The 27,632-nt window shown below is 49.5% G+C and overlaps 1 protein-coding gene across 7 annotated transcripts in view, besides 2 other annotated features; it reads left to right on the forward strand.

The window, feature by feature from the left end:
• Window positions 1-27,632, forward strand: part of ZDHHC14 (zDHHC palmitoyltransferase 14) — a 296,968-nt gene that overhangs the window by 252,580 nt on the left and 16,756 nt on the right. For 6 of the 7 annotated variants that reach the window (NM_024630.3, XM_047419366.1, NM_153746.2 and 3 more), the window contains exons 6-8: window positions 11,968-12,070; window positions 13,490-13,599; window positions 19,756-19,858. In NM_024630.3, coding sequence (NP_078906.2) covers window positions 11,968-12,070; window positions 13,490-13,599; window positions 19,756-19,858 — 316 coding nt within the window. Of the gene's footprint in view, window positions 1-11,967; window positions 12,071-13,489; window positions 13,600-19,755; window positions 19,859-25,776; window positions 26,076-27,632 lie in introns of those variants that run through there. The other variant, XM_017011310.2, reaches the window with a different exon arrangement.
• Window positions 11,852-12,352: an enhancer, noted in NCBI's record as "H3K4me1 hESC enhancer chr6:158066653-158067153 (GRCh37/hg19 assembly coordinates)". NCBI's record gives its function as "activates a minimal SCP1, AML or CMV promoter by ChIP-STARR-seq in naive H9 embryonic stem cells {active_cell/tissue: H9 hESC(naive)}" and the evidence as "EXISTENCE:reporter gene assay evidence [ECO:0000049][PMID:30033119]".
• Window positions 14,247-15,446: an enhancer, noted in NCBI's record as "CDK7 strongly-dependent group 2 enhancer chr6:158069048-158070247 (GRCh37/hg19 assembly coordinates)". NCBI's record gives its function as "activates an origin of replication core promoter dependent on BRD2, BRD4, P300/CBP, MED14 and CDK7 cofactors, with strong dependence on CDK7, by STARR-seq in HCT116 cells {active_cell/tissue: HCT116}" and the evidence as "EXISTENCE:reporter gene assay evidence [ECO:0000049][PMID:35650434]".

Consider the following 27,632-nt stretch of genomic DNA (forward strand, 5'->3'; position numbering starts at 1 on the left):
GGCCTCCCAAGTAGCTGGGATTACAGGTATGTGCCACCATGCCCGGCTAATTTTTGTATTTTTAGTAGAGACGGGGTTTCACCATGTTGGCCAGGCTGGTCTCAAACTGCTGACCTCAGGTGATCTGCCCACCTGGCCCTCCCCAAGTGTTGGGATTACAGGCATCAGCCACCACACCCAGCAAGGTAGGGATTTCTTAAGAATGAAGAACTTTAATATGACTTATGTATGTATCATGTTCTTAAAGTCAACCTGCCATGTCCCTGAGAACTGGTATGTGTGTTTGAGCAGGGGAGGGATTTCGATACATCTAAAAACAAATGTGATCCTATAAATATAAATATATATATATGTTTCCATAATAGATGGTATCTCTTTTTCCAGTACCTCTGTGTTTGTGGGCAGCATAGGATGTTGGTTACAGGTCCAGATTCTATCGTCAACTAATACTTTTTAAACTCAGATCTGTACTGTGGATGGGGCCTGGGACATAAGGAAGATGTACAAAGGGGACTTGGAGGATAAATTCAACAAATAGGTCATGTCTTCTATTAATGATTTGGGAAGAAGTTGACTGGAAGGAAAGGTGGCCCAGGGAATGAATGAAATCTTCAATACCTGTGCTATTAGGATCAGGTCCAGCGAGAAATGTCCTCCTCCGTTCCTCTCCCCAACTCTACCAGGGGTGACATCCCCCCACTATCACCTCTCTGTGCCCTTCTGTTTTCAGAGAACATTGCTTCCTCAAAGCTCATAGCCAAGTCGCCTCTCCCTTCCTAAAGAAAAGGCTTGCCTAAGTCTTACAAGGAACCGTTTGTGTCATGAAAGCATGCTGGTCACATTAAGTTTTAAAAATGTGCCTCAGAACTGGCACTGGGGCCCGGGCTGCCAGCTGGAAGATTTTCTGAAGCCTCACATATGTGGCAGCTTCAGCCAACTCCCCCCAATTCTGTCCTGGCACCTGTGCCTCCCTGAAACCCTGTGCGTGTGCAGGAGGCCTGGTGCATGTTTCAGACACAAATATCCAACACAGGAGTGCCTCTCGGCTGGGAGGGGGAAGCACTTCCTCGCTGCTGAGAAAGGCCACCCTCAAAGCCTGGTCATTCCAGCTGCCTTGTGTCTGGCCTGCTGGCGGCTTCTGCTCCGTACGTGTCCCCTGGGAGCCACCCTTCAGGTGGAGCATAGAGGGGCTGTGTGTAGAGTGGCCTTGTTGCTACCTGGTCTTTTTTTTTTTTTCCCCCTGAAACGGAGTCTCACTCTGTCGCCCAGGCTGGAGTGCACTGGCACGATCTCGGCTCACTGCAACCTCCGCCTCCCGGGTTCAAGCGATTCTCCTGCTTCAGCCTCCTGAGTAGCTGGGATTACAGGTGCTGTGCCACCACACTTGGCTAATTTTTATATTTTAAGTAGAGACGGGGTTTCACCATGTTGGTCAGGCTGGTCTTGAACTCCTGACCTCGTGATCTGCCTGCCTCGGCCTCCCAAAGTGTTGGGATTACAGGCGTGAGCTACCGCGCCCAGCCACTGCCTGGTCTTTATCAGAGCTCCTGACAGACCTCCCAAGTCATGCATCTTATCCTATCAAGATCCCAGAAGGGCTGTTATTAGAGACCAAGTAGGCAGTCCTGGACTGGGGTCAAATCTTTTAATACCTGCTCCATGGCAATTAATTATGAGGTCCGGAGTCATTTCTTAACCCTTTTGTGTCTCAATTTTTTGACCTGCAATAGTCAACCACTATGTACTTGACAATGATATGCTGACAAAGTCAGTTATTCAGGAAATACAGGAAAGACTCAGCTCCAAAGCACGGCTTCCAGGTGTGGCCAGAGGGATTTCAAAGAGACTCTGCCAGAACCTTCTTTGAGAGCACACGTCTGCACGCTGCATGGTGTGGCTGGGCTGACAGTCTGCAGAACCAGGAACACGGCATCCCCCTTAGGGGCACAGACCGGTGCTGCTGTTAGGAAGCAAGCGTGGCAGTAGCGTGCTGGCCGTGCCCGGAGCCTGCAGCGGGAAGGAGTGCGGGAAGGGAAGGGAGGAAAAGAGATGCTCTTACTTATTCAGGCCAGAGCAAATTTTATTTTCCCCTAAAAATCATTCTCGGATGGAGGTAAAGAGTTTTCCCTATTGGCCCAGTTTTTGAAAACGCATAGAAGTCTCAGCCGCTGCCTTTCCAAATAGTGTTTCCTCATCTGGGTGCTGACTCTTTCCTCCCACAGCCAGGCGCTCCCCCTTGCAGGAGTTCCCGGCACCTCCTCCACACTCAGGGGCAGGGCAGCCACAGCCTGCTGACCGCATGCAGGTCCTAAAAACCCAGACGCAGGCCACACCCGCACCTCCAGCCAAGGCCTTCCAAAATGTCAGCCAGGGCGTAGAGCCTGAAAGAAACACACATCCCTCATCGCACAGGTCACTTGATGGATTTAAACACACACACACACACACAGCGCTGTCTATCCTTAGATGTGTGTGTATGTATGTATTTTTAAGCCCTCATATATACATGTGTATATAGCTATAGACGCACACACACACATATATAAGGACTATATAAGGATATATAAGTGTGTGTGTGTGTGTGTGTGTGTGCATGCATCTATATCTGTATGTCTATCAGTAAGTACAGATGTAGACAGACATGTCCTCCCCAGAGTTCAGGTTGGAAATGCTCGCGGGATACCCCGAAGGCCCTTGCTGGCCCACGCTGCTCACAGGGAGGCTGCCCATCCTCACTTCCCTCCTGCTGATTCGCTCCCTGCTTGGTCTTGTGGCACCTACATTATGGACCCGAGGTCCTGCTGGGCTCCTGCCTGGGAAAAGGAGACTTAACTTTAAACCCAGAATATCCCAGGGCAGCCAAGAAAAAGACCCTAACAAAACCCCATTCCCCCTGGAGAAAAGTGGGGTCTAAAAGCAAGGTCTGGGAAGAGCCAGCAAAGCTGTTCCTAGCGCAGGAGAAGTGAGCAGTGTGGGCAGCACCCTAGCCTGGGTCTCCTTAATCCTTTCTGGAAGCAGGAGTGAATTTCAAGAACATCAGACACACACCCACTCTGCGAAGCAAGGTGCTGGGTGCTTTAACGTGCAAAGTACAGAGACATTTCTTCGGTGTGCCACTGACGCCCCTCCCCTCATCGATGCTGTGGTTGCCTAAAGGTTCTGTGTTCCGACAGGGTGCTTTCTGTTTGAAATATGTGCCTTGGAGAAGAGTTCCTCCTCCAGTGAGTCTATTAAGAAGTATTGCACAGATTATTTATCCTAAGTTTGTGTTCCGGAAGAGTAAGCATGCGTTGGGTGCTACTGGATTGCTGTGTGTTTTTGAAAAAACATTAGTTCTGGTTATTAGAGAACCATGTGCTGAGTAGGGCTGGATCCCATCAGCACATCTGTTGGTATTTTTGGTGCCTGTCTTTCCTCTGGACACCTGTGGCTTTGGAGGTGGCATGGGAATGCCAGCGGGAGCTTATGTGGTGAAGCCCTGTAGCTCCTGAGGAAGAGTGTGCCAAAGTCAAGGGCCACTCAGGGGTCTGGCCCGCAGAAGCCCTGGATCACAGTGACTGGGAGTGCTAGAAAGGAAGATGGGTCCTGCTTGTCAGTGTGGTGGGGGATTCTAGCATTAGAGAAATGCTAAACTCAAGACCTCCCAGCCCCTTCCGCTGCTGAGATCCTGAGAGCTTGAGAGTGTCTGTTGGGGTGGCTGGTTTATGATGGATGAGTTTGATCTGGGGCACACTCATAAAAGCCGTCCTTTGATTGATGGCAGAGCTGCCCACGCTTTGTCCTCTCCAAATCTGTACTCCATCCAGAGCAAGAATCTGTAAAGTCCCAAGTTTTTAAAACTGAAGGAAGTTTCCCAGCTGACTTGCCTGAGCACAGGACTGGAGTCTAGAGGAACCTCTGCAAGTGACCTCTGCAGCGTTTTCTCGGGCAAGACAATAACTTATATTTTCACATTTTCAGTGACCTCATATCTAATTTCCTGACCATGCAATAAAAATATTTTGACGAGAAATAAGGGCACAGGCAAAGCTTTCTCACAGCAGATTTACTCTGCAAAATATCCAACTAAAAACAATGTCATTGAGGAAGCGAGAGAGATTAGAAACAAAAATGGCTAATAGACAACCATCTAAGACACCTTGGCAGAAATATCAGTGTCAATGATGGAAACATTGATACACTGAAAGCTCTTCATCAGGCCCACATAAAACCCAGCAGAACTTTAGGAGAAAGGAACCGAGTAGCTTCTACTGTAAGTAAGCCCGGACTGGGTGGTATCTAGTGCCAGAGTGTGGCCAGCCCAGGGGGAGAGGGAGGGAGGAGAGGGAGGTGGAGGCAGGGGAGTAGAGGAGGCCCTAGATGACTGTGACAGAATGCCTGACTCATTTTCAGGTGCTCAGCAGGCCCCTTCCCAGTCTGCACCATCAGCCCTCCCAGGGGTGAGGGATAGGGCAGGGTGCCCACTGCTGGGATGCAGCCTTGGAGGGTGCACTTCTGGCTCAGAGTCCATAGTCGGTTCTCCCTCCCTCCGTCCTCCTCCTACTCCTTCCTTCCCACCTCCCATTGCCTGCACCAAACTCCATTTCCTCCCCTTTTCTTTGTATCAGAGAAGCAGAGGCAGTGGGGAGGGGCCTCTCAGGGCCTGTGGCCATGGAGCGGCTGCCCCGTACCATGGACAAGAGCCCCCTGGCCTTCTCCATGGACACAGACAAATGGAGAGACTTCTCAAAAAAAAAAAAGGGACTGGGCCCTCTGTCCACACAGCCAGGCATGTTCAAACAAAGGAGATCCACTCAGCAACTATTTCCTGTAAAACCATTCTACTCAACAGCCACCATGGGCAAAACCTGACAGGTCACAAGGTCGAGAACCATCCGCCTGGGCCCTGGAAGGATGACAGCGGGGAGACACACAAATGCACCGTCTCGCCCTCTTCTGCCAGCATCTGCTGCTGCCCAGATCTGGGTTCTCACTAGGACTCCTTATGCAGAATAAGGGTTGGGTGCCATGAAAAAGACACAGCCTGTGCTTGGGGTGGGGTGTCCTGCAGGGACATCAGGAGAGGCAGTGGCAGGGACCTCCGTGCAGGGCTGTGGGAGATGGGTGGGTTCTAGTGGGGGACATGGAGGGAGAGGTCCCAGGCAGCGCCCACAGCCTGAGCAAGGCCCAGAGGATGGTGCCAGGGGCTATCAGGAAGGGGCAGCCCATCTGCAGGGCCATGCCTGGCATCCTGGTGTTGTGCCCACGCACTCCACATTGGGCAGGGTGCCCGCTTTGGCTGAGCATCAAAAGGAGGCAGGGCTCCCCATCAACATGTGGTCTGCCCTGCATCGTGTGAGCACACAGGTGCACTTACACACCCAAGTGTGCGACAGAAAACTGGGAGGGGCTGTGATAGCTAAACCCCGATGGGGTGGGGGCAGGCTTGACAATGTTGAAGACTAAGGGGGTGAGGTCCCTTCATCCCCTGCATGCTGGCAGGTAAATGACATCATCAGTGCTGGGTTTTGATGCTTGTTTTAAAGAACATTTTTTTCTTTTGTTGTTGTTGTTGAGATGGCGTCTCACTCTTTTGCCCAGGCTGGAATGCAGTGGCGAGACCTCGGCTCACTGCAACCTCCGCCTCCCAGGTGCAAGCTATTCTCCTGCCTCTGCCTCCCAAGTAACTGGGATTACAGGCGCTCGCCACCAAGCCCGGCTAATTTTTTATATTTTTAGTAGAGATGGGGTTTCACCATGTTGGCCAGGCTAGTCTTGAACTCCTGACCTCAAGTGATCCACCTCGGCCTCCCAAAGTGCTGGGATTACAGGCGTGAGCCACTGCACCCGGCAAGAACATTTATCTTGCATCAGGGGACACAACAGAGTGGAACAGATGTTTGCAGAGGAAAGGCCCCCACGGGGGAAATCGGTGGCAGAGGGACAGCTCAGTAGGGAGAAGCAGGGCAGTGGGATCCGTGCCTGGGGAGGGGTGAGGGCGGAGGAGTAGGAGCGTTCTGCCAAGAGTGCCTGGGGGAAAGGGTTGCGCTGGAAGGGGGATACAGCTAGTGCCAATTTGGGGAGCCGTGGTGAGTTCTGTCTAAGATATGTTTACAAAAAGAATCTAAAAGATAACACACATGAGTCTCCCCATTGGCCTAGAGTGACCTGAAGGTCCTTTCTTTAGTTGCCTGCATGTAATGTGGAAGGAGGGAAAAATCAGCTGCTTATCAATGAGAATGTCGCAGCCTCATAGGAAATGTTACCTGTCAGGTGCCTGTCCGGGAAGCCATGTGGTGATGCCGCCTTGGCTTCTCCGATTCGCGGAGGCCAAAACCCTCAGAAACACCTGCTGGGGAGCCACAGGGGCCCTGGGCCTCCCTGAGGAAGACCCCAAAAGGGGAAGCCCTGCCTATCAACACTCATTTCAATGTAATGTAGCATTAACATCCAATTAAAGGGATTACAGCCATTTTTAATCATGACTTATTGTTCAGCTCTCTTAAAATGTGGAGAGTTTTTTGTGGTTGGTAAATCAAATGTTGATTGATTCTCCATTTGCAGAGGCTGTGACAGAAAGCGTTTTCATCCCCAAGTTGCATTCACTGGACACTGACCCATCTGAAAGGCACAGTGGCCTAATACACATGGTCTGTTTTAATGGAATTTTCTAGGAGGCTCCAGGTTGGCCCACAGAAAGGACACCACAACGGGAAAATCACGAAGGCAGCACAGGTCTTTTCCAACTTGTCCATCCTGATACCTGCTGATCCTGAGAGGGACCCCAGAAAGTAGGTAGGACAGGTGTCCTTAGGCTGCTTCCAGCTGCAGCTGTGCTGAGAAGTGAATGACTTACTCAGGGGTGTCCAGAGCTGGAGCCCAGTTCTCCCAACTACCACCCTCCCTCCCACCAGGGGACTGAGATACTTCCTGCTACCCCTAACCAGCCCCACTGAGGGAGGGTCAGGAAGAAAAAGCATCAGATTGTGTCTCATAAGACCACAAGGTGGGAAGGAGGTTGTTTGCTTTTTCAAAGCACCCAAGTCCTACGAGAATATGTTCTCGTTGTAAAAAATCCCCAATGGTCCAGAAATACAAGAGCAAAAAGAAAGTGTTTCTCTTGACCCTTCCTCCGTTCTGCTGTAGGAACCCTTGCCAGCTTTGGTGTGTCCTTCCAGATGGTCTTAGAGTTTGAATACATCCGTGTGCATCATACACATATGCTGATACGGGGGTGGGAGGACTTTACCTAAAAAGGACTCTTTTTTTTGCATGGTTCCACAATTTGACTTTTTAAAATATTTCCTGGAGATGTTTCCATGATGATACATAGATCTACCTCATTTTTTTAACTATTTCGTAGAATTCCACAGTGTAGATGAACTATAGTTTAGTCTTCTGTTGATGGATATTAGATTTAATTTTTTTTACTGTTCAAGAAATGAAGTAGTGAATTTTCTTCTGTGTATCTCTATGTGCACATATTACTGTGTCTCTAGGGTTGACAATGGGTGTGCCATCTCTGAGTTGAAGGGAAGCACATTTAAATGTCGATAGGGATGCCAAATGCTCCTCTTAAGACACTGGACAAGTCTGTGCTCCTGTGTCCCCACACCTTTATGGCACTGGCTGTGAACAGTCTTGTCATTTTGGCCAATTCGATGAAAAGAAAAATATTACACTGTTTTAATTTCCATTTTCTGGATAATAGATTGTACCTCTCTTTATGTTCATGGGCCTTATTTTTTCTTATCACAATGTATGCCAGTACATGTCCATGTATCAGTTGAGTTATTTGTTCTTTTTCTACGAACATGTAGGGGTTCTTTATGTTTCTCAAAAATAATAATAATAATAATCTCTTAAGCATCCTTTGCCAATCTCCAAATCCAACATTTACCTTTTAACTTTACTTTTTTACACGGAAGTGTTTATTAATGAACACAATCTGTCAATCTCATACTACGTGGCTCCTCGGTTTGTGTCTTATATCCTTACCCCAAAGTTACATGAATGTTGCCTTAATCTTCCTCAAATACCTTTATATTGTGTTTCTTACGTTTGGTGCAGTAATTTATCTATCAGATAATTTTGTGGATGTGGTGCAAGCTGAAGTTCTAGCTTTATTTTTTTCTAAATGTTTAATGAAGTGTCCCAACTCCACTTACTATTTCATTATTCTGTTCCAGCAAGTCTCAAACTTTTTGGTCTCAAGACTCCTTTACACATTGAAAAATTATTAAGGACCGCCAAAGAGCTTTTGTGTATATTTTGAAGATAGATAGATAGATAGATAGATAGATAGATAGATAGATAGATAGTTATCATGTTGGAAATTAGAACTAAAAAAATTTTAAAACACAAGAATGCACAAGCCCACATTGTATTTGAATGAGAGCAAGGACATCATCTCCCTGGCCATTCTGGAATCCGGGAATTCTGGACATGTAACATATGTGGTCCCATGATCTCTCACCTTTTGTGATCCTCCAAATACTGACGCATCCTAACCATTCTGCCTCCTGCACAACCTTCTTCCCTTACGTACCTTCCTGCTGCAAACAGAGCCCCTATTCCCTTAGGGCAGGAAGCTGGTCCTTCCCTGCCCTGTCCTGTCCCCAGTGCAGGGCTGGGTGCATAGAAGGACACAGAGCCTGCACTTCTGGGATTAGGCAGGAACTCGAGAGAAGGGTCTCTGCAGAGCAGTGCTTGTCAGAGTTTTTCAATTCCACAAACGTTTAGTGAGTACCGCAGTGTGCAACCTCTTAGGCTAGGGCTGTGGGGAATGTAAAGCCATCCTTCTGGCCACAACGGGGACAAACTTTCTTAGCAGGGGTTGTGGGGGAGACAGAGGTGCAGTGGTAGCTGCTATGATTTGAAACCCATCCTCGATGCAGTAAACAAAGTCCCAGCTGCTTATGAAATTGGCTTCCAGTAGAATTGGGTTGTTTCCTCTCCTTTCTCTTTCTAAAAAAAGACGGTAAATGGGTTTTGATACCTTTAAAAGAAATTTCTGTTTCTTGACCTTATTATGGCATAGATATTTTCAGCATATAGCCAGTGGGCCAGTAAGGAATGTGTGTCTGTATATCTGTATCTGAGTCTGAGAGTGGATGTGAAAGGGAACAAACCATGTCAGCTGCCACAGGTTCGCGAATCCTGGAGAAGCAGGGGGTTGGGGTAGGTCTAGGGCCACCTGCCCCTTGGCAAGAATTAGGAAGGGGACCAGCCTAAGACTCTTCTGTCATCCCAGCAGAGCAGACTTCCGGCATTCAAGTCCTAGCTCTGCTATTTCTCAAGCAAATTACTTCATTGCTTTCTGCCTCAGTTTCCCTGTGTGTTAAGAGGGAGTCATGCTTCTCCCTGGGTCACTCTGAGGTTTAAGCAGAACAGGACCTGACACACCCCAGTGATGCCAGCCATTGTTATGAATGATGATGCTGACGGTTCCTTGAGACCTCCTGAGTCAGCTGGGTCCCAGGGTGTGGGTAGTGCCAGCAGGCTGCATCTTGCATCTCGCATCCTACTTTGGATTCATGTCATTTTGACACAGCTGCAAGCTGACAGTGGAACTGCATTCTGCAATTTACAAAATGTGTCTAAAGCACATGAGATATTAATAGAAAAGCTGGCCGGGCATGGTGGCTCACACCTGTAATCCCAGCACTTTGGGAGGATCACCTGAGGTCAGGAGTCCGAGACCAGCCTGGCCAACATGGTGAAACCCCGTCTCTACTAAAAATACAAAACTTAGCCATGCATGGTGGTGGGCACCTGTAATCCCAGCTACTCGGGAGGCTGAGGCAGCAGAATCACTTGAACCTGGGAGGCGGAGGTTGCAGTGAGCTGAGATCATGCCACTGTACTCCAGCCTGGGCAACAAAAGCAAAACTTCATCTCAAATATATATATATATATATATATATATGCTGTATTTTTTTATTGTTGCTATAAACCTTTAGAATTCTATATCCGCTGGCTATGATGCCTCCCGATGAGGGTAAGGAGCATAGTTGACATTGTCAAAGGAGCTGCAGCCACTTTCAGTCTGGGATTGTCACTGCTCGTACATGCCAGGTTTCATATGGTTCATACATAGGAATGTTATATGCATTTTGACTTTGCCATCATTCTACCTGGGTCGTAAACTCTTGGTGACACATAAGTATTTCTAGGATTGCAGTTTGGTTCTTCATGTATTATTCAGTAAATAAATCTGGTTCTGTTCTTGATTCTTTTCTACCCTGGCTATTTCTTGTTTCCGTTCCATGTGTCCCCTCCTCTTTCTGTCTCTTGTCTTCCTTGTAGCTGATCCAAACCCATCACTAGTGTCTAATGTCATCTCCCTCTCACACACCCCAGCTTTCCTGACTCAGTCTTCCCACTGGCTCCCGCATTGTGTTCCCTGGACTCTACTTCACCTCTTCTTTCCAGCCAGTGCATGGCCTGAATCCCAGGGGAGTTGCCTCCCAAGTCTGTCCCCTCCTGGCAGGGGGGATGTGGGTGGAGAGAGGGGCCTCTTTAGCCCCGTTCTGTGGGAAGGCAGTTGAGAATGAGACCATCTTTGCTGCCTGGGCCACCATCCATGTGTCCCCATGTGCACACAGAGCCCCCACTGTAGCCATTTGCCCAGCAGGGGTTGCCTAGGCTGGCAGCAGCTGTGGGTAGGGGGTCTGCCTTCCTGTGTCTCTCTGGTTCCCTACCACTCCCCGCTACCGTCTCCTTCTAGAGCAGACCCAGTGGTTTAGTGCGATGTTGAAAGTCAGTCAACAGGCAGAAGCCCATTCACTCCTGTTTTGTGTGCAGCCTTGTATGCCCAGATGGTGGCATCGGTTAACCATGGCACAGCAGACCACGGCACCGCACTGGGTAATGTGCTCAGCCCTCTGGTCTAAAGATGAATTATCTCCAGCCTGGAGAAGATCATCACTGACATGTTCCAGCATGATGTATATGGCATTCATCCTCGGAAACATTAGGAGAGCAGGCGCGTTTCTTTCTCCATCCTGTAATGTATCGATAGCGGATGCCAGATGTATGTGTAAACTCCCAGACCCAGGATGAATGGATTTTTCCCCCTGAGAAATATCTGTATCCTGTAAATAGAATGTTATAAACATTTGTGGGACAGAAAAAGTCTCTGGCCTTTTCACATTGCCACACTCTCGGGTGATGGATCTGATCTGCTGAAGAGCACCAAGCTTTTTCCCTTTGTGTTGGACACGTCTTGTGGAACTCTTGACTTCCTCTCTCTCTATGTCCTGCGAGAACTCGTGGTTCCCAGCTGCCTATCAAGCAGCTGAGGATGGCCTTATAGGTCAGGGGTTGGCTGAAGGGCTGAGAAAACTCCCCCAGGTAAAAATACCCCTCACCCTGACGTCACTCCGAGAAATCCCACCGCCGGTTCAGGGGCTTATTTTTCCTTCTTCCCCTTCTCTGTAAGCAGAGAAGAGGCCGTCCACTAAAGCAGAGGGCTTTCTGGGCCTCAGAAGCCATTCTCCTCAGGGGAGACGCCTGTTGGCACTGCAGTCCTCAGCATTCAGAAGCCAAAATTAGAGTCTGTGATTGATGTGCGAGTCAATATGTCGTCCTTTCACCCAGAGCCTGAGCTGCAGCCAACTCAAACCAGTGTGCTTCCTGATCAGGATGCCACAGTCGCTGGCTCCACAGTGAGGCACAGAAAAAGGTGAAGTTCAAGTAGAAGTCAGAGGAAAGAAGTGAGTAGGTGATGCCCAGGAAACCCTCCAGGCATCACGGAGCCACAGAGGCTGCTCCACGCCGGGGCAGGTGACACCCCCTGCCCTGACGGAGGCCTCCATCTGGTTAGACGAAATTCCCGGAAGAGCAGGAAGCAAGGCAAGGCCGGGTGAGAGAGAGGCCAGCAACTAGAGAGAGGCCTGTGCCCGGGGGTGTTTCGGTTCCAGGCCTCCATCACATCCACTTCTTGCGCGGTCCCTCACTTCCGCTTGCCTCCTTGACTCGCATCACCGTCCTGGAGGCTGTGGTGTGCTTCTTCTCTGTCTGGTCCATCGTTGGCCTCTCAGGATTCCACACCTACTTGATCAGCTCCAACCAGACAACAAATGAGGACGTAAGTTCCTGACCACACGGGACACGGGCGTGTTCTTGGGTTTTGGGCAATGGAGGAGAAAAAGGAAAGAAAAGGTTGAGCCCAGCTTTTCCCATACATCCCGTTCCAGATGTGAGCCCTTGGGAACAGAGACGGTGCCGTGGAAACTTCTCCACCTGCCGTTCTGCACGTTTCTCTTCTGGGAATCTCCACGTTCTCTGTTTTTCCGACCACATCCATTAGTTACTAAGATTGGCCAAGCAACACCCATTTCTGGCCCTGAAGAGAGTGTTCTTTGTATTCCTTTGAAATGGTTTCGTAAGCTTCTTATCACACTTCCCCTGGTAGAGACCATGGCGGGCCAACATCTTGGAGTGAACGTTTGAGTCTGCCTTTCATATTTAATGTCTCTGTGGGAGGAAATTGCCCTGACCCAAAATTTAACTTTTTTATTCAGGATTATCTGCCTGCACTTAATACAGATGGAGAGGAAGTATGAAAATAGGAAACAAGGCCGGGCGCGGTGGCTCATGCCTGTAATCCCAGCACTTCGGGAGGCCGAGGCAGGCGGATCACGAGGTCAGGAGATCGAGGCCATCCCGGCTAACACAGTGAAATCCCGTCTCCACTAAAAATACAAAAAAATGAGCCGGGTGTGGTGGCAGGCGCTTGTAATCCCAGCTATTCAGGAGGCTGAGACCAGAGAATCGCTTGAACCCAGGAGGCAGAGGTTGCAGTGAGCTGAGATAGCGCCACTGCACTCCAGCCTGGGTGACAGAGCGACACTCCATCTCAAAAAAAAAAAAAAAAAAGAGGAAACAAAATGTTAGAGAATGTTTCCAGAGCAGCGTGGTCCTCTTTGCTCTTTATACTTAGATTTTGATAGAAGTCTCTATCCACACTTGAATTAAATGTCTCAGGATAGGTCCAGTTACCTTAAACAAAAGCTTGAGAAAATAGGTTGTGATAAGACACATGAGATAAGAGAATATTAATACAGTTATTTGTACTTGGTAGCTACAAATATTAGAATATGCAAAACAGACCATTTTGGTCACAAGAAGAGGCTGAATTATTTCAGTCTGTAAATTAGCAATTAGGGGAACCATTTCACCTACCATTCATTTAATTATTATTTAGGGCACTAAATGTGAGTATGAAAAAAATCTCTGCTGGCTTATATGAGATGGCCTTTTAGTACCATGTGGTACAAATAAAAGATGACTGTCCCTGAGAATGTTATTCTTTCCCTATTCTAACCTGCTGTTTTAGGACATTTCCAAGTTTGGAGTAAATGCCCGTTTTCTTTAAGAAAAATACCTCCATTTCTTTGGATTAAAGATGATTTGCATTCTTTATGAGCCTCTCATGGTCCAGCTCACCTCAACTGTGCGTTGGTGTGGAAGATATTGCTTGTTACTGACTTTCCTTTTCTTTCAGATTAAAGGATCCTGGTCAAATAAAAGAGGTAAAGAAAATTACAATCCCTACAGCTACGGAAATATCTTTACCAACTGCTGTGTTGCCCTGTGTGGGCCCATCTCACCAAGGTAAGACTCAGGACGCATCGTGCTCTTCAACAGACCTTGGAAAACCGAATGCCTCGGCCGTTAGCACAGGCCGCCCGCCCTGGTGGAATGGGTCGCCGCCACCACGTGACCACTTTGTGCCGCGTGGATGTGGCCTTCGTGAAATCGAGATCTGGCTGTTTGTCGTGTCACACTTCACACCTTTTTTGATCTTCAATTGAATCTGTGTCTGATTGGGGGGAAATTTCCTAAAGCCCAAAATAGAGAGACAGATGCCTGTGGCCCTGCTAATGACTGAGGCCCTGCTAATGACTGAAGGTGCGTGCAGGGAGCTGTGGTTAGCATCGTCAAGGAGACAGGACACATGTGCAGGAAGGAAGCAGCCAGAAGTCTGAGGAAACCAGTTTCGAAAGTTGATTTGCACACAATAGAAATGTTCATAGGGAGAAAGCCACATGGGCCGCAGTCGTTGATACTGTGGTCATGGTAATAATGACGATGACACGAACCATGGCAGTAGCTGACCTTTATTGAATCTGTGTTAAGCTCTGCTCTAAGTTCTTTATCTGCATTAGCCTTTCACAAGCTCACTCTGTACCTATAGGTAGGCACCGTTATATCCCATTCTATGGATGAGGAAAGTGAGGCACAGAGTTTAAATAATGTGCCCAAGATCACACAGCAAGTAAATGCCGGCTAGTCAGGACACACACCCAGGCCACCCAATGTCAGAGCCAGTATGTGCCCACTGAGGCACGCTGCCTCCAAGTCAGAGTGTACAAGTTCAAAATACAGATTCTTTGTGAGTTACACCTATGGAGAATATTTTCAACTGATAAATCAAACCATGATCAACAAATAGATATTGAGCAAATCTACCTGGTCTCTAGAATGAGTTTCCAAGTTATTACTGCTTCCTACCTTTTGGTCTCCAAATGTGTAAAACAGGGAGAAATGACAAAAGCCACCATGACTGTGTCCAGGGCAGACCCACTGTGCACCCAGACCTTACCGATATGCGCTTGTGGAATGCAAACTTCATTTGATTATCAGCCTCAGTGAATCCTCATTAGAGAGGTAAAAAGAATTCAAGAAAAAAAAAATCCAAGCATATATTCCAAGGCCATCTGTGCACTGGCATTGAGTTATTACTTTGAGTCACCGTGGTGCTACTGCAAAACTAGAACTTGATCATTTTCTAGCTTTAGCCTAGAAACTTGGGAGCCCAGCATGCCACTGTCCTCCTGAACTAGGGGTCCTCAAGGCACCCCTGACCTCCTCAGAGGCTTAGAAAGGGCAGGCGAGGATCCTGGGTTAGAGGAGCTGCTCAGACCACAGGGGTCAGACATGCCTGGGCAGGTGCCAGCTCCTCTTGAAGAAACCTCCTGACTCACCTAGGGATCCTTCTGGGAGCTCTTTAAGCAGAAAGTCTCTCAGGCAATGGCTTGATTTGTCACAGCGTCCATGGTGCTTCCCGCTGGCTTGTTTGTGACTAGCAGGGCAGGTCAGGAAACAGTAAGAGCCAGGGAGAGCTGGCCTCTTTCCCCCACCTGCAGTGCGTGTGTGGGTCTAAGAGAGGATGCCGAGGCCTCAGTTCTGTCCAAATCTCCCTTCTTGTTCCTGAGTCCTTCATCTGCATATGGCACGGCTTTATGTTGTTTAGAGACCACAAACTGTCACAACCAAAATTATTTCCACCACTGGGTTAAATGTGCTGTTTTGGCTGGATTGGGGCTGTATCTTTTCCAAAATCCATGTTCCTTTGGGTGGGGCATTTCTTGAGGATGGTCCTACCCTGAGAAGTGTTTGAATCGTTTGTTAAAAGGTAAACTGAAGGACATTAAAATAGTGAAGAGTGTATTTGAACAGACGGCGATTCATGAATCTGGCAGCTCCAGACTTGAAGCGGTGTGGGGCAGCACTGAAGGGGCTCCGGGGGAGGCTTTTATTGGGTGAAGGCAGAGCAAGACAAATAAGACATTTGCTTTGTTAAAGTGGGGCCGTAGCTTTCCTTGGGTCATTCTGGAGCTTGGGCAGGGACATAGGCCACTCATAGGCTTCCGGGCTGGCCCCAGGCAGATGTGAGGGGGTGATGCCTACCTTTGCCCCTCCCTCTCGTCCCCTCTTGCCTTGCCCTTCCGCTGTGCCACCTCGACCCAGCCCCTGTGCCCTTAAGTGGGCCAGGGCCTTCCCGGGCATCCCGGCCAGGCCTACCCACTGAGAGTGTCCCCTTCCTCGGACCCCTGGGCCCAGACCCCTGTGCTTGAGTTGCCCCTCCTGGGTTCTTAAATGGTGCTGTGCCATGCAAATAAGGCAGAGAGAGTTCTTGTGTTCCCCTCTGGGAGTCTGCTTACCAAGAGTTCAGAGACCCACATTCGGTTCCTGCAGTGTTCCCAGAGGCAGGGATGGCAGCTGGCTGGGTATGGCCAGGTTTGGAGGAAGGAGTCCTCATATAAGCCTGGCGGGAGGAATGGAAAATTGGGAACACAGAAAGGCCCAAGGAATGGTCAGTGTCACACCAGACTTGGGCTGGTTCTGTGGGTCATGTGGCCACCATTGACTGCCCATGTGCGGTGGAGCCAGTTCCGTGCCAGGCGCTGGGGGTGCACGGGAGAGGGGCTGGCTCTGTGCCAGGCGCTGGGGGTGCACGGGAGAGGGGCTGGCTCTGTGCCAGGCGCTGGGGGTGCACGGGAGAGGGGCTGGCTCTGTGCCAGGCGCTGTGGGTGCACGGGAGAGGGGCTGGCTCTGTGCCAGGCACTGGGGGTGCACGGGAGAGGGGCCAGCTTCTGGGCAGCAGGGACTGTCCATGGGCAGGCAGTGCACAGTGAGGTGCGTGGGCCGCCCAAGAGTAGGTCTAAGCTGTGAACTCTCCCAAGGGTGAGAAGGAGTTCGGAGGAGGAAGCGGTGGGGAGGAGCAGGGTTTTGAAAGACAAAGGGGGCAGCTGTGCAGGGACCCGAGGGTGAGGGTCCTGGCTCATCCCAGGAAACACTGATGGGGTTAATGTCAGGAGTGGGGGGCGAAGGGAGCTGGGCCGAGAACCAAGAGGTGAGACAAGACAAGGGGCGAGTCCAGGTGAGGAGGAGAAGGACGGGCAGAGCCTCATTGGGCCGTGTCCAGAGCTTCGCAGCACTGGGAGCCCAGCTGCTACATTAAACAGGCTGGACGCGATGGGATGCTGGCCGAGAACGCTTGATTTTTTTCTCCCTGCTGTCCCTTCAGACTCTTTTGATGACCTAGTTCTTTTTCCGCTCCTGGATAAAATCCCCTGCAAGCCCCTTAATTTCTCTTGTCATTAAAAAAAAAAGAGAGAGAGAGAGCAAGAGAGAGCACGTCAGAGCACTTTGCCTCCAAAATAGTGTCATTTCAGTGCATCAGAACTGCCAAGTTTATTGACAGTTAACACTTCCCATCACTTCACCTGACCCTGGTTGGGAGGACTGTGGGGATCCCTGTTTCCCTTGAGCTCTGCCCCCACCCATCAGCTAGTCCTGTCTCCCCACCAGCTTGCTGGCCAACAGTGAGGAGGGGATTTGGGACAGGGGGTCGGTGCTTTTGGTCCCCCACCAATGCTCTAACCTGGTGGGGTCTGAGAGCACCTGACTGAGAATTTCCTCTGAGGACCCCCCATTGCAGTTCCCTGATGGAGACACCTGCCACTGCAGCCCCAGGTGGGCCCGCGGCCATGAGCCGTGCATAGGCCTCTCTGTGGGGCTCCCTCTGCGGCTCTCTTGGGCTGAGTCCTGTAGTAGTTTCCTAGGGCACTGCAGTCCAACAAGTGCCATGAAATGGGAGGGTTAAAACAACAGAAAGTTGTTCTGTTATAGTCGGAGGCTCGAAGCCTTAAATCAAGGTGCTGGCAGGGTTGTACCCGCCCCGAGGCTGGGGAGAACCCTTCCTTGCCTCTTCCTGGCACCTGGTGGGGCCATCAGCCCTCCACGTTCCTTGGCTGGCATATGCTTCATCGCAGGGTAGCCTCTGTCGGCCCATGGTGTTCTTCCTGTGTGTCTCTGTACCCTCACCTGGCATTCTCTTCCTCACCTCTTTCTCTTCTTATAAGGACACCAGCCACACTGGACAAAGGCCCACCCCAATTGAGTGTGACCTCATCTTAACTTGGTTACATCTGCAGAGACGCTACTTGCAAGTAAGGTCACACTCGCAGGTACCAGGTTAAGACTTCATATCTTTCTGCACAGTTCAACCCGTGACGTTCCCTCAAGACCTCCTTTTTTTTTTTTGAGATGGAGTCTCACTCTGTTGCCCAGGCTGGAGTGCAATGGCATGATCTTGGCTCACTGCAACTTCTGCCTCCCAGGTTCAAGTGATTCTCCTGCCTCAGCCTCCCAAGTAGCTGGGGTTACAGGCATGTGCCATCACGCCTGGCTAATTTTTTTTGTATTTTTAGTAGAGGTGGGGTTTCACCATGTTGACCAGGCTTGTCTCGAACTCCTGACCTCCGGTGATCTGCCCGCCTTGGCCTCCCAAAGTGCTAGGATTACAGGCGTGAGCCACTGCGCCCGGTCCCTCAAGACATCATGACACTGGCTCTCTCCCATGAGATCCACACCTGGACCTTCATCCAACCCCAGGTCCCAGCCCCATCCCTGGCTGTCACCCGCGCTAGAGGGCAGAACACCCTTCTCCAAGACAGCCTTCTCTGCTCTTTTCCCCTCGGACCCTTTGTACCTTTGAAGGGAGGGTTGCAAAGCTGGTTTGAGAACCCCCTTTGACATCCTGCAGAGGAGGTCAGGCACTTTTCTTTGAAAGGTGGAGATTCTTGTTGCCTGTTGTTTTTTCTAAACCTATGGAGTGTTCAGCTGGAACTGAGGCAGAGAGTCCCATTTGAGGATCCCGTCACAAGTGGTTTTTCTGGCTTATTGTTCTGCCACTTGAAGACCTGAAGGCAGTAGTCATGAGGTTAACTCCTGTGTTCCACAGGACTGACACGTAGGAGGCCCTGCTTTCTGAGAAAAGCAGCCCAGGTAGACAGTCCTCAGAGGCGGGGATGGGCATGGCCTCTGGATACACTTTTGTAGTTTGCAAAATGCAGAGCACCTGGGGAAGATTCTGCGCTGTGGGTGTGCCTGGTCCCACACTGTGGGGGCTGCTCCAGGGATACTCACTTATTAGCTGAACCTCCTGTTGCTCCTTACACTTCTGCCCTTAGACTCAAGGTCAATGCTGAGCCTTCACTGGGGAGAAAAAAAAGGCAACTTTACCCCACCTTCTAATGAGCCCAGCACCGTAGAGTACAGAAACAGATGCCTTTGGAAGCACTACTCAGAAACTTGTCTGTGGGACAAGGGACCCATTTTTATTCATTCCATCAAGAAGAATTTTGCGCAGCACCCGCTGGGTGTCAGCCTCAGAGATACAGATATTGAGACGGCCTGCCGGTCCTTGCCCTCCACGCTCTGTGACAGATGTGGAAGAGGGGCTCTAATCCCCATCTCTGTGTGCCAGGCACAGGGCCAGGTACCATGGGGGGCCACAAGATGAAGACTCTGCCCTTGGGAGCTTGATTGCAGGCAGAAAGCGATGTATGGGGCTGAGAATCAGAGAAGGGGAGAGAGGAGGAAGGGGGCTAGGGGCAAGAGCAGGGGCTTTTGAACCTGGCCTTGAAGAATGGAGAGCAGAGGGGCAGGAAAAGTGACTTAGGAAGAGAGGGGGGAAGAGTCCAAACAAAAACACAGAGATAGCCAAGCAGAGTGCATGCTGGCGGGGCTGTGGCTCTGTTCCCACGTGGCAGGCGGTCATTTCCCACACGCTACACTGGCACTAGCAGGTACTCGAAACAACGTTTGCTGAGTGAATGTAGTAAGAAGACGTGCAGTTGAGGCTGGAGAGGAGCGCTGGGGACAGATGGTGACAGGTGGGGGTGAGACCAGCTTAGAGGCTCCCACAGTTAGTAGACAAGAGGGAGATGCTGTCATCTGAGCAGGCGACACGCCCTTGGCCTGGCGAGGAGGCAGGCCATGCCGTAGTCATGTTTAAAGGGAGAAGGGACAGAATTTGGTCACTGATTATACACGAAAGTGAGGAGAGGCATAGTCTAAGTTGCCTGAGGTGGGCCTGTCACGGGAAGAGGGAGCCCCGACGCGGAACCTGAGATAGTGCTGCTGCATCTCTGGCTTTTTATTCACTCTCTTCCTGCTGTGTTTTCTTTTCTCTCGCAGCCTGATCGACAGAAGAGGGTACATCCAGCCCGACACGCCGCAGCCAGCAGCACCCTCCAATGGCATCACCATGTACGGGGCCACGCAGTCACAGAGTGACATGGTAGGAGTGGGGGCCACTGCTCCCTGCGAGGGCTTCCCTTTTGCTTGTGTGCTCACTAACAGGCCACCAAGCAGCCTTCCTAGCAAACCTCCCCAGGAGCGGGGGCAGCCCACAGCCGCCCACCCCATGACTACTGCGCTCAGACAGGAGGCAAGGCGTTAAACTAAGGCAGTAGCCCAGGAAGCGTATGGCCACTGAGTTTGGTGTGCTTGTTCACAGTTGCGCAGGGGAAGTCCACACACGCGAGCTGTCTGCCAAAACAGCTTGAGGCACGTGGATGGAAGCCCCTTATACAGGATCAGGCTGTTGTTACACATCCCAGGCAGGGCTGGGCTCATGATCTTCCATTTCCCTTTCCGTCCCTTGGTCCCCATCTGTACTGACCCCTCTTCCACTTCCTCAAGCGTGCAGTGGCTGGTGCTGCCGGTTCCCCTGCTTCCGCCCAAAGTCTGGGATCAGCCCTGTGTAAAATAGCGCAAATGATCAGACCAGGTGTACGTTCACTTGCCACAAAACTGACCAGTGCCTCTCCAGAGCGTGTGCACATCTCACGCTTTCTTCGACGGGTGGACATGCTTTGCTTGCAGTGTGTAGGTTTCTAGCGTGCAGGTTTCCAGCGTGCAGGTGGAGATCTGGGGGAGGGGGCAGGAGTCGCTCATGGACACCAGGAATCTCAGCCTGGCCTGGTCCTGACCATCAGTGTCTTAAGATTCCCTAGGTGTCTGGAAGGCAATGGCCTCTCTTTATTTGGAACAAATCTCCCTAAAGTTAGAAGTTCCATGTTTCTGCAGAGAACCTTGTCTTGTGGTGGTCCTGTGCTGTGTGCTCTTTCTATAGCTGAATCACCCACTCCAGAGCATCCATGACAGATCAGAGACCTGACTTTCAGGTAGACTGGACGTGGGCAGCAGCCCAGAACACCTTGCTTCTGGGTGCAAAGAACTGCAGGGTGGAAGTTGGCAGCCTCAAGACAGTCCTGAGGCTGCCAAGTTCCACAGCTGCGTGAACTAGACTCAGCCCCCAGCAGAGATGGCTGGGGTTTACGTGTTGGTGGTGGTGGTGTCTTGTTCGTATTGCTTTGCTCTGCTTTACTAATAAAGCGTTTTCTCTCTCTTTTTTTTTTTTGGAGACAGAGTCTTGCTCTGTCGCCCAGGCTGGAGTGCAGTGGCATGATGTCAGCTCACTGCAACCTCTGCCTCCCAGGTTCAAGCGATTCTCCTGCCTCAGCCTTCCAAGTAGCTGGGACTACAGGTGCATGCCACCATGCAGGCTAATTTTTGTATTTTTAGTAGAGACAGGGCTTCGCTATGTTGGCCAGGCTGGTCTCGAACTCCTGACCTCAGGTGATCCACCTGCCTCGGCCTCCCAAAGTGCTGGGATGACGGGCGTGAGCCACTGTGCCAGGCGTGTTTTCTTTCGAAGCAAGTATGTTTACTTCAAGGTCCTTGCCGCTCCACTGTGTAAGGGATTTGGGGAAACAGCTTGTTTGGTCATAACTCATCCACTCAAGGGACGCTTTAAGGGTCACTCCCCTGTATTTTTCAGAAAAGGAAACTGAGAACAGAGGGAGGAAGAGACAGGCTCGCAGGAAAGGGGATTACATTCATGGAGATCAGCTGTGTTCAGGGCGCGTGGTGGTCAGCACCTCATTTAACCCTAAAGCAACAGTGGGAAAAGGGGACACTTGTCCCCACCTTTTTTAAGTAGGAGAGATTGATCATCCATCTACCCAAGGCCACACAGACTCTAATTTGTGGGTTCAAAACTAGCCTGGCGACTCCAGTGCCCACGTTCACTTCTTACACTGCATGCCTGCAAGCGCACAGGCATTAAAGACCAGATCTGTGCTCAGAGGCTTTCTGCACCATTCGCAGGTGCACAAGAAGTGCCCTGTAAGGACAGAGCTCACCAGAATTCTGGCCGCAGCATACGTTGATCGTTTCTCTGATGTGTGCATGTGTCTACACACAATAACCTCTCATTCAATCAGCCACTCTACCTGGGTTCCCTCTGTGTGTTGAGGACTAGACTAGGAGATAGAGATACAAAGTTTGTGGGGTACAGCTCATCCACCTTCAAAGGGGTCAGCAGTCAGGGGGCAGTATGTGAGCAGATACATGAAGGAAGCATTAAGAACCTTCAGTAGAATTGACCACCGATGGCAAATGTCCTTGTCAAAACCAGTGGACTTATGTTCTTCTTACCCTGTGACCCCCATAATACTGGGCTCACCAGGTTCTGCAGGGTGCTGATCTCACCAAGCTCTACACTTTGTTGAGATTAAGAAAATTAACAAAGGCTGTTTAATGGTGCTCTCACCAGGAAGCCACTTCAGGTCAAGACCAGATGGGACATAATTCATCAATTCAGCAAACAGTTATTGAGCACCTACCCTGTGCCTCTGTGACAGAGAAGGTGGCTTTAACCATGGAAATGGGGAGGTCGTTTTACTCCATATGTGAAATCAGATTCCCCTCTGGAGTCCATTCATTCTACACCTGCACCAAGACTCTGGACATGGCAGAAATGCTAGCGTTCATTTGCCTATTCCTTTAGGAGTCACCTTCCAAATAACTAGTACCGCTGAAGGCACCGGGCTGTGATGGAAGGGTTGTTGGAAGAGGACACTGCAAAGGTTAAGAAGCCTGTCGCAGTGCAGCAGCTGCCTGTTGGTCACCCCTTGTCACTCAATTCAGTGTAAGGCTACTTTTCTTTTCTTTTTTTTGAAACAGTGTCTCGCTCTGCCACCCAGGCTGGAATGCAGTGGCATGATCTCCACTCACTGTAACCTCCGTCTCCCAGGTTCAAGCCATTCTCCTGCCTCAGCTTCCCGAGTAGATGGGATTACAGGCGCCCGCCACCACACCCAGCTAATTTTTGTATTTTTTAGTAGAGAGGGGGTTTCACCATGTTGGCCAGGCTGGTCTGAAGCTCCTGGCCTCAAGTGATCCACCAGCCTCTGCCTCCCAAAGTGATAGGATTACAGGCATGAGTCACCGCGCCCAGCCTGGAAAGCTACTTATTAAGGCATCTGTTAATCTGTGGGCTTGAGCACTGTGTCAGGAAGCTTGAAGATACCAAAAAAAAAAAACAAAAAAAAAAAAAACAAGACTCCTTGCCCTCCTGTTCTCTGCTGTGACTGAGGATGAGACAGTCTGAACACCCCAGGAAAGAGCTGCATGCGACATCACCATGCCACTGAGCACCAGGCAGATCAGGAGGAGCTCTGGACCTGGAAGCAGAGCCTCTTCACTGCTGGCCTCAGGCTGATGGCATACAGAATCATGGTGGGATTGAGTAAGGACCTGCGGCCCTGGTCACCTGCCCAGGGTGACAGTGCACTCTCTGCCATGCATACCTGAGTGTAGGTGGCTTCACATCTCCTGTAGCATCTTCTTGCCATCCGTACACACAAAGGGTATTTGTATTTTTTTTTTTTAAGACAGGGTCTCACTCTGTCGCCCAGGCTGAAGTGCAGTGGTGAAATCTCAGCTCACTGCAACCTTCACCTCCTGGTCTCAAGGTGATCCTCCTACCTCAGCCTCCTGAGTAGCTGGGACCACAGGCATGTGCCACCATGCCCAGCTAATTTTTGCATTTTTTGTAGAGACAGTTTTGCCATGTTGCCCAGGCTGGTCTCGAACTCCTGACCTCAAGCGATCCACCTGCCTCAGCCTCCCAAAGTGTTGAGATTACAAGTGTAAGCCACTGCACACGGCCATTCATTCCTTTACTCAGGCATGCACAGATCTTTCCAGAGAGCTTCCAGGGGAAGGCTTGAAAGCACTGTTGGGTATAAAGAAGTGAACAAGGCTCACATGCACCTGGGAGCTGTTCGGTACAAAAACACTCCAGCGTCACAGCCCCAGCGAATCCATGCCCAGTGAGTCTAGGCTCAGGCACATGATATGTGCACGAAATCTCAGGATCAAGGTCTTGCTTTAAAGCCCATGGACCCCATGCTAAAGAAGCCCTCCATCAGTGAGTACCATGGTCTACCGCCTCCATACCAGAGACAAAACTGTAAGAAATCTCAACATCCTGGGAGTCATACGCGTATAAGCACTACTCCGGATTTGGTAATAGCACAGAATTGTATAGTCAAGTCCCCTAAGCAGGATGTTCCAGCCAGTGATAAAAGCTGTACAGAGACATCTGTTCCACATGCTAAATGCTTTCGAGTCAGCCAGCAGGCTTTAAGATGCCTTTTTATCCCCATCTGGAAGAGGAACATTGGAGATGGGGATTCACTGTGTGGAGACCAGACTGCTACCGCTTACTAGAAGCATGACCTTGATGAGTTGCTTAACCTCTCTCTGCCTCAGTGTTTTCATCTATAAAATGGGAACATTGATATTCTTACCTTGTAGGGTTTCTATGAGGATTAAGTTAAGACATGTCAAGCACTTAAAACCTTGCCTAGTAGAAGAAAAGTACTATTTAAGTGTCGGCTATTATTATTATCCCCCTGAGACCCATGAGTGGCAAGATGAGCGAGCTCAACTGTACCCTCTTGGAGCAACCGGAAAATAATAGAGATGACTGGCATGAGGGAAAGAGCCCAGAATGGGAACCAGGGAATGAGAGCTCCCATTCTGGCTCCTGCCAGTTAGTTCCCTGATGATTGGCAGGTCACTCTTGCCTCACTGGTCCTCAGTTTTCCTCATCTGCAAAATAGGAGGTGGGATTAATTTGTACCTAAAGCCCCCTTTTAGCTGTGAGCCTTTTGTGAGTCTCTGATCCTTGCAGCTCCACCAGGAGATTAGGAGGGCAGAGACAACATCTCAGTCCACACATGCCAGAAAGAGCTCTCCAAACCCCAGAAGAAGGTAAACACCGTGACTCTCAGCTCCTCCTCTCCTCCCACCCACCCTGACCAACAGCCCCCAAACTGACTAAGCCCGCACTTGACACAGGATTGGGGGTGTGCTGTGGGGCTATGCGCAGTCTGGCCGTCATACCAGAACTTTCTTGAGAGTAGGAGTGTGTGTTGCTTTTCTTATTTGTCTCCTATTTCTTGAATTTATGGGATAAATCCTACTTGGCCATGGTATATAATCCTTTTTATATGTTGCTAAATTCAGTTTGCTAGTATTTTGTTAAGGATCGTTCTGTCTGTATTCATAAGGGAATTGTCTGTAGTTTTATTTTCTCGTGAAGTCTTTGTCTGGTGTTGGTATCGGGGTAATACCGGCTTCATGGAAGGAGTTGAGAAGTGCTTCTTACTCTTCTGTCTCGAAAAGTTTGTGAAGAACTGCTGTTAATTCATCTTTAAAGATTTGGGACAATTTGCCAGGAAAGCCATTTAGTCTTGAACTTTCTCCATGGGTATTGTTTTGATTACTAATTCACTCTACTTATTATAGGTCTATTCAGATTTTTTACTTTTCCCTTGGGTCAGTCTCAGTGGTATGTGTCTTTCTAGGAATTTATCCATTTCATCTAAGTTATCTAATTTGTTACCGTTTTCTCATCTGTCAATATTGTTTTATTATGAAAATAGATGAGGGAAGCTTAAGGACTGAAAAAGTTAAATTGAAAATGAGAATAATTTGTAAAACTGGAGGGGAAGAGAAGAAGCAGTCAAAGACTTCAGTGAAAGTCAAGAGGCACTTGAAGTAAGCCCTGAAGGGGAGAAATTGGTATTTTGTATTTTTTAAACATTCTGTGAAATGCACATGCCAGCCGAGAGACCTGGGAACCTCTAGCAGAGCGAGTTCCAGCGTGGTCTCCGGGCCCCGCACTGTTGCTTTGCTTTCTCCCGCTTTGCGTCATGTTAGGGCCATGAGAAATACGCGTACCAATTAATTTCCAGGAATTGTCAAAACACGGACAAATGAGCTGAAATATTTCAAGACTGACAACAGTACAAATTCTCTGGGGCCACTGTGACATTCCTCTCCTTTGATTTGCTTCAGCTGCTAATAACAGACATCCCAGGCAACAAAGACCATCACAGACTAAGCCAGCACATCATGACCAGCAGTGCCTGGCCGAAAGGGTCCCGAAGCCCTAACGGTTTTCCGGTCTCTGATGCAGTGATAGACATCCAGGGCACCCACCCTCTGCGCCTTGGAAAGCCTGCAGCACCGTCGCTAAGAGCAAGTGGTCTGGCAAGTTGCCAAGCAATCCGTCGTCTTCCTTTCTACTTATTTCCTGTTTTGGATATAGTTAGAGCTCAAAATCAATAAAAAAGTTCTTGCGTTCCAATCCCCAATTAGACAGATGGGAAAACAAATACACAAATCCGTTAGTGCTGAATTAGTCAGAATCGCAAGCTGAACTTCAAGCCATTCTAAGAACGGCACCAAGTTTATTTGCTCTAGAACCATGCTGTGGATAGGTGGGTCTCTGCTGAGGTTTAGCGCTTTAGAATGGACAGAGCGTTGCTAATATTGATACTATCATTGCAAGAGTTGCCTCACTTAATCCCCACAGCAACCTGCAAGATAGCCTCCTTTTACAAAGGATGAAACTGAGACTTGGATATGTTGAGTAACTCGCTCACAGTCACACAGCTAGAGATGCCAGGCCCATGTACTTTCTTACTTTCTTTTTTTCTTTTTTTTTTTTTTTTCTTTTTAGACGGAGTCTCACTCTTTTCGCCCAGGCTGGAGTGCAGTGGCACAGTCTCGGCTCACTGCAACCTCCACCTCCCGAGTTCAAGCGATTCTCCTGTCTCAGCCTCCCAAACAGCTGGGATTGCAGGTGTGCACCACCACGTCAGGCTAATTTTTGTATTTTTAGTAGAGATGGCATTTCACCATGTTGGCCAGGCTGGTCTCAAACTCCTGACCTCAGGAGATCCACCTGCCTTGGCCTTCCAAAGTGCTGGGATTACAGGCATGAACCACTGCGCCTGGCCCCGGATGGTTTCTATTACATGTCATATTTCCATCTGAAAAGCCCTCAAGCTGGAACCAGCTGACCCTCTTCAGACCTGGCCCTATGTCTAGGAGCTGAGGGATAATTTATTACAATCTGTCGCTCCTCAGCCCAGGACACTCATTAGAATCACAATACTGATCTCTGCATCCAGTTAAGTCAGAATCCTAGGGTGGGCAGCCAGGCCTTGGCAGTGCTATGGGCCTGGAGATGACTTTAATTGGCAGCCACTATTGAGAACCATCGACACAGCCTTCAAACTCTCTTGTTCTCTCCAAAAGTTTCGGTTAAATGGAATGATTTTGAGCCATTATTTGCTTTGGCACAAATAAGTTTCTTTTATCTTGAAAAACCTTAGGTCAGTTTCATTCAAGTAATACATGGTCTATTCAGAGAAATGGGTATATGGAGGATTTGAACGGAATGTGCTAGAATGTGACAGACTGTTGGGGGAGGGGCAGGGGAGCTTTGACAAAGAGCACTTAGGTTTCAGGCAAAGCTTCCTGGAGGAGACGACATCTGAGAATTCGCCACCCAAAGGTGGAAGGGATGTTTCAAGCCAACAAAGCACAGGCATGTGTGGGGCGAAACGTCCTGGTGTTTCAAGAGGGGGTGCAAGTTGGGGGAAGTTGACTTAGGCATGTGGAATGTGGGTGCCCATGGATACCTGGGGGTGGTGGGGAGCAGCCCAACAGGTAGCTGGATGGAACACTCAGGGAAGGTTTGCTTCCTGTGTTGTTGGAGAAATGGTCTGGTTGGTAGAAAGTCACTTGGAAACAGTGGAGACGTGAATCTGTTTTGTCAGCTAGCCTGTAAAAAACCTGTAAGACTTACTCATGTTTGTCATCTGAGATACTAATCCAATTTCATCTTACATGCTGGAAGATTA

The sequence above is a fragment of the Homo sapiens genome, chromosome 6 (genome assembly GCF_000001405.40).
Source record: "Homo sapiens chromosome 6, GRCh38.p14 Primary Assembly".
NCBI lineage: Eukaryota > Metazoa > Chordata > Mammalia > Primates > Hominidae > Homo > Homo sapiens.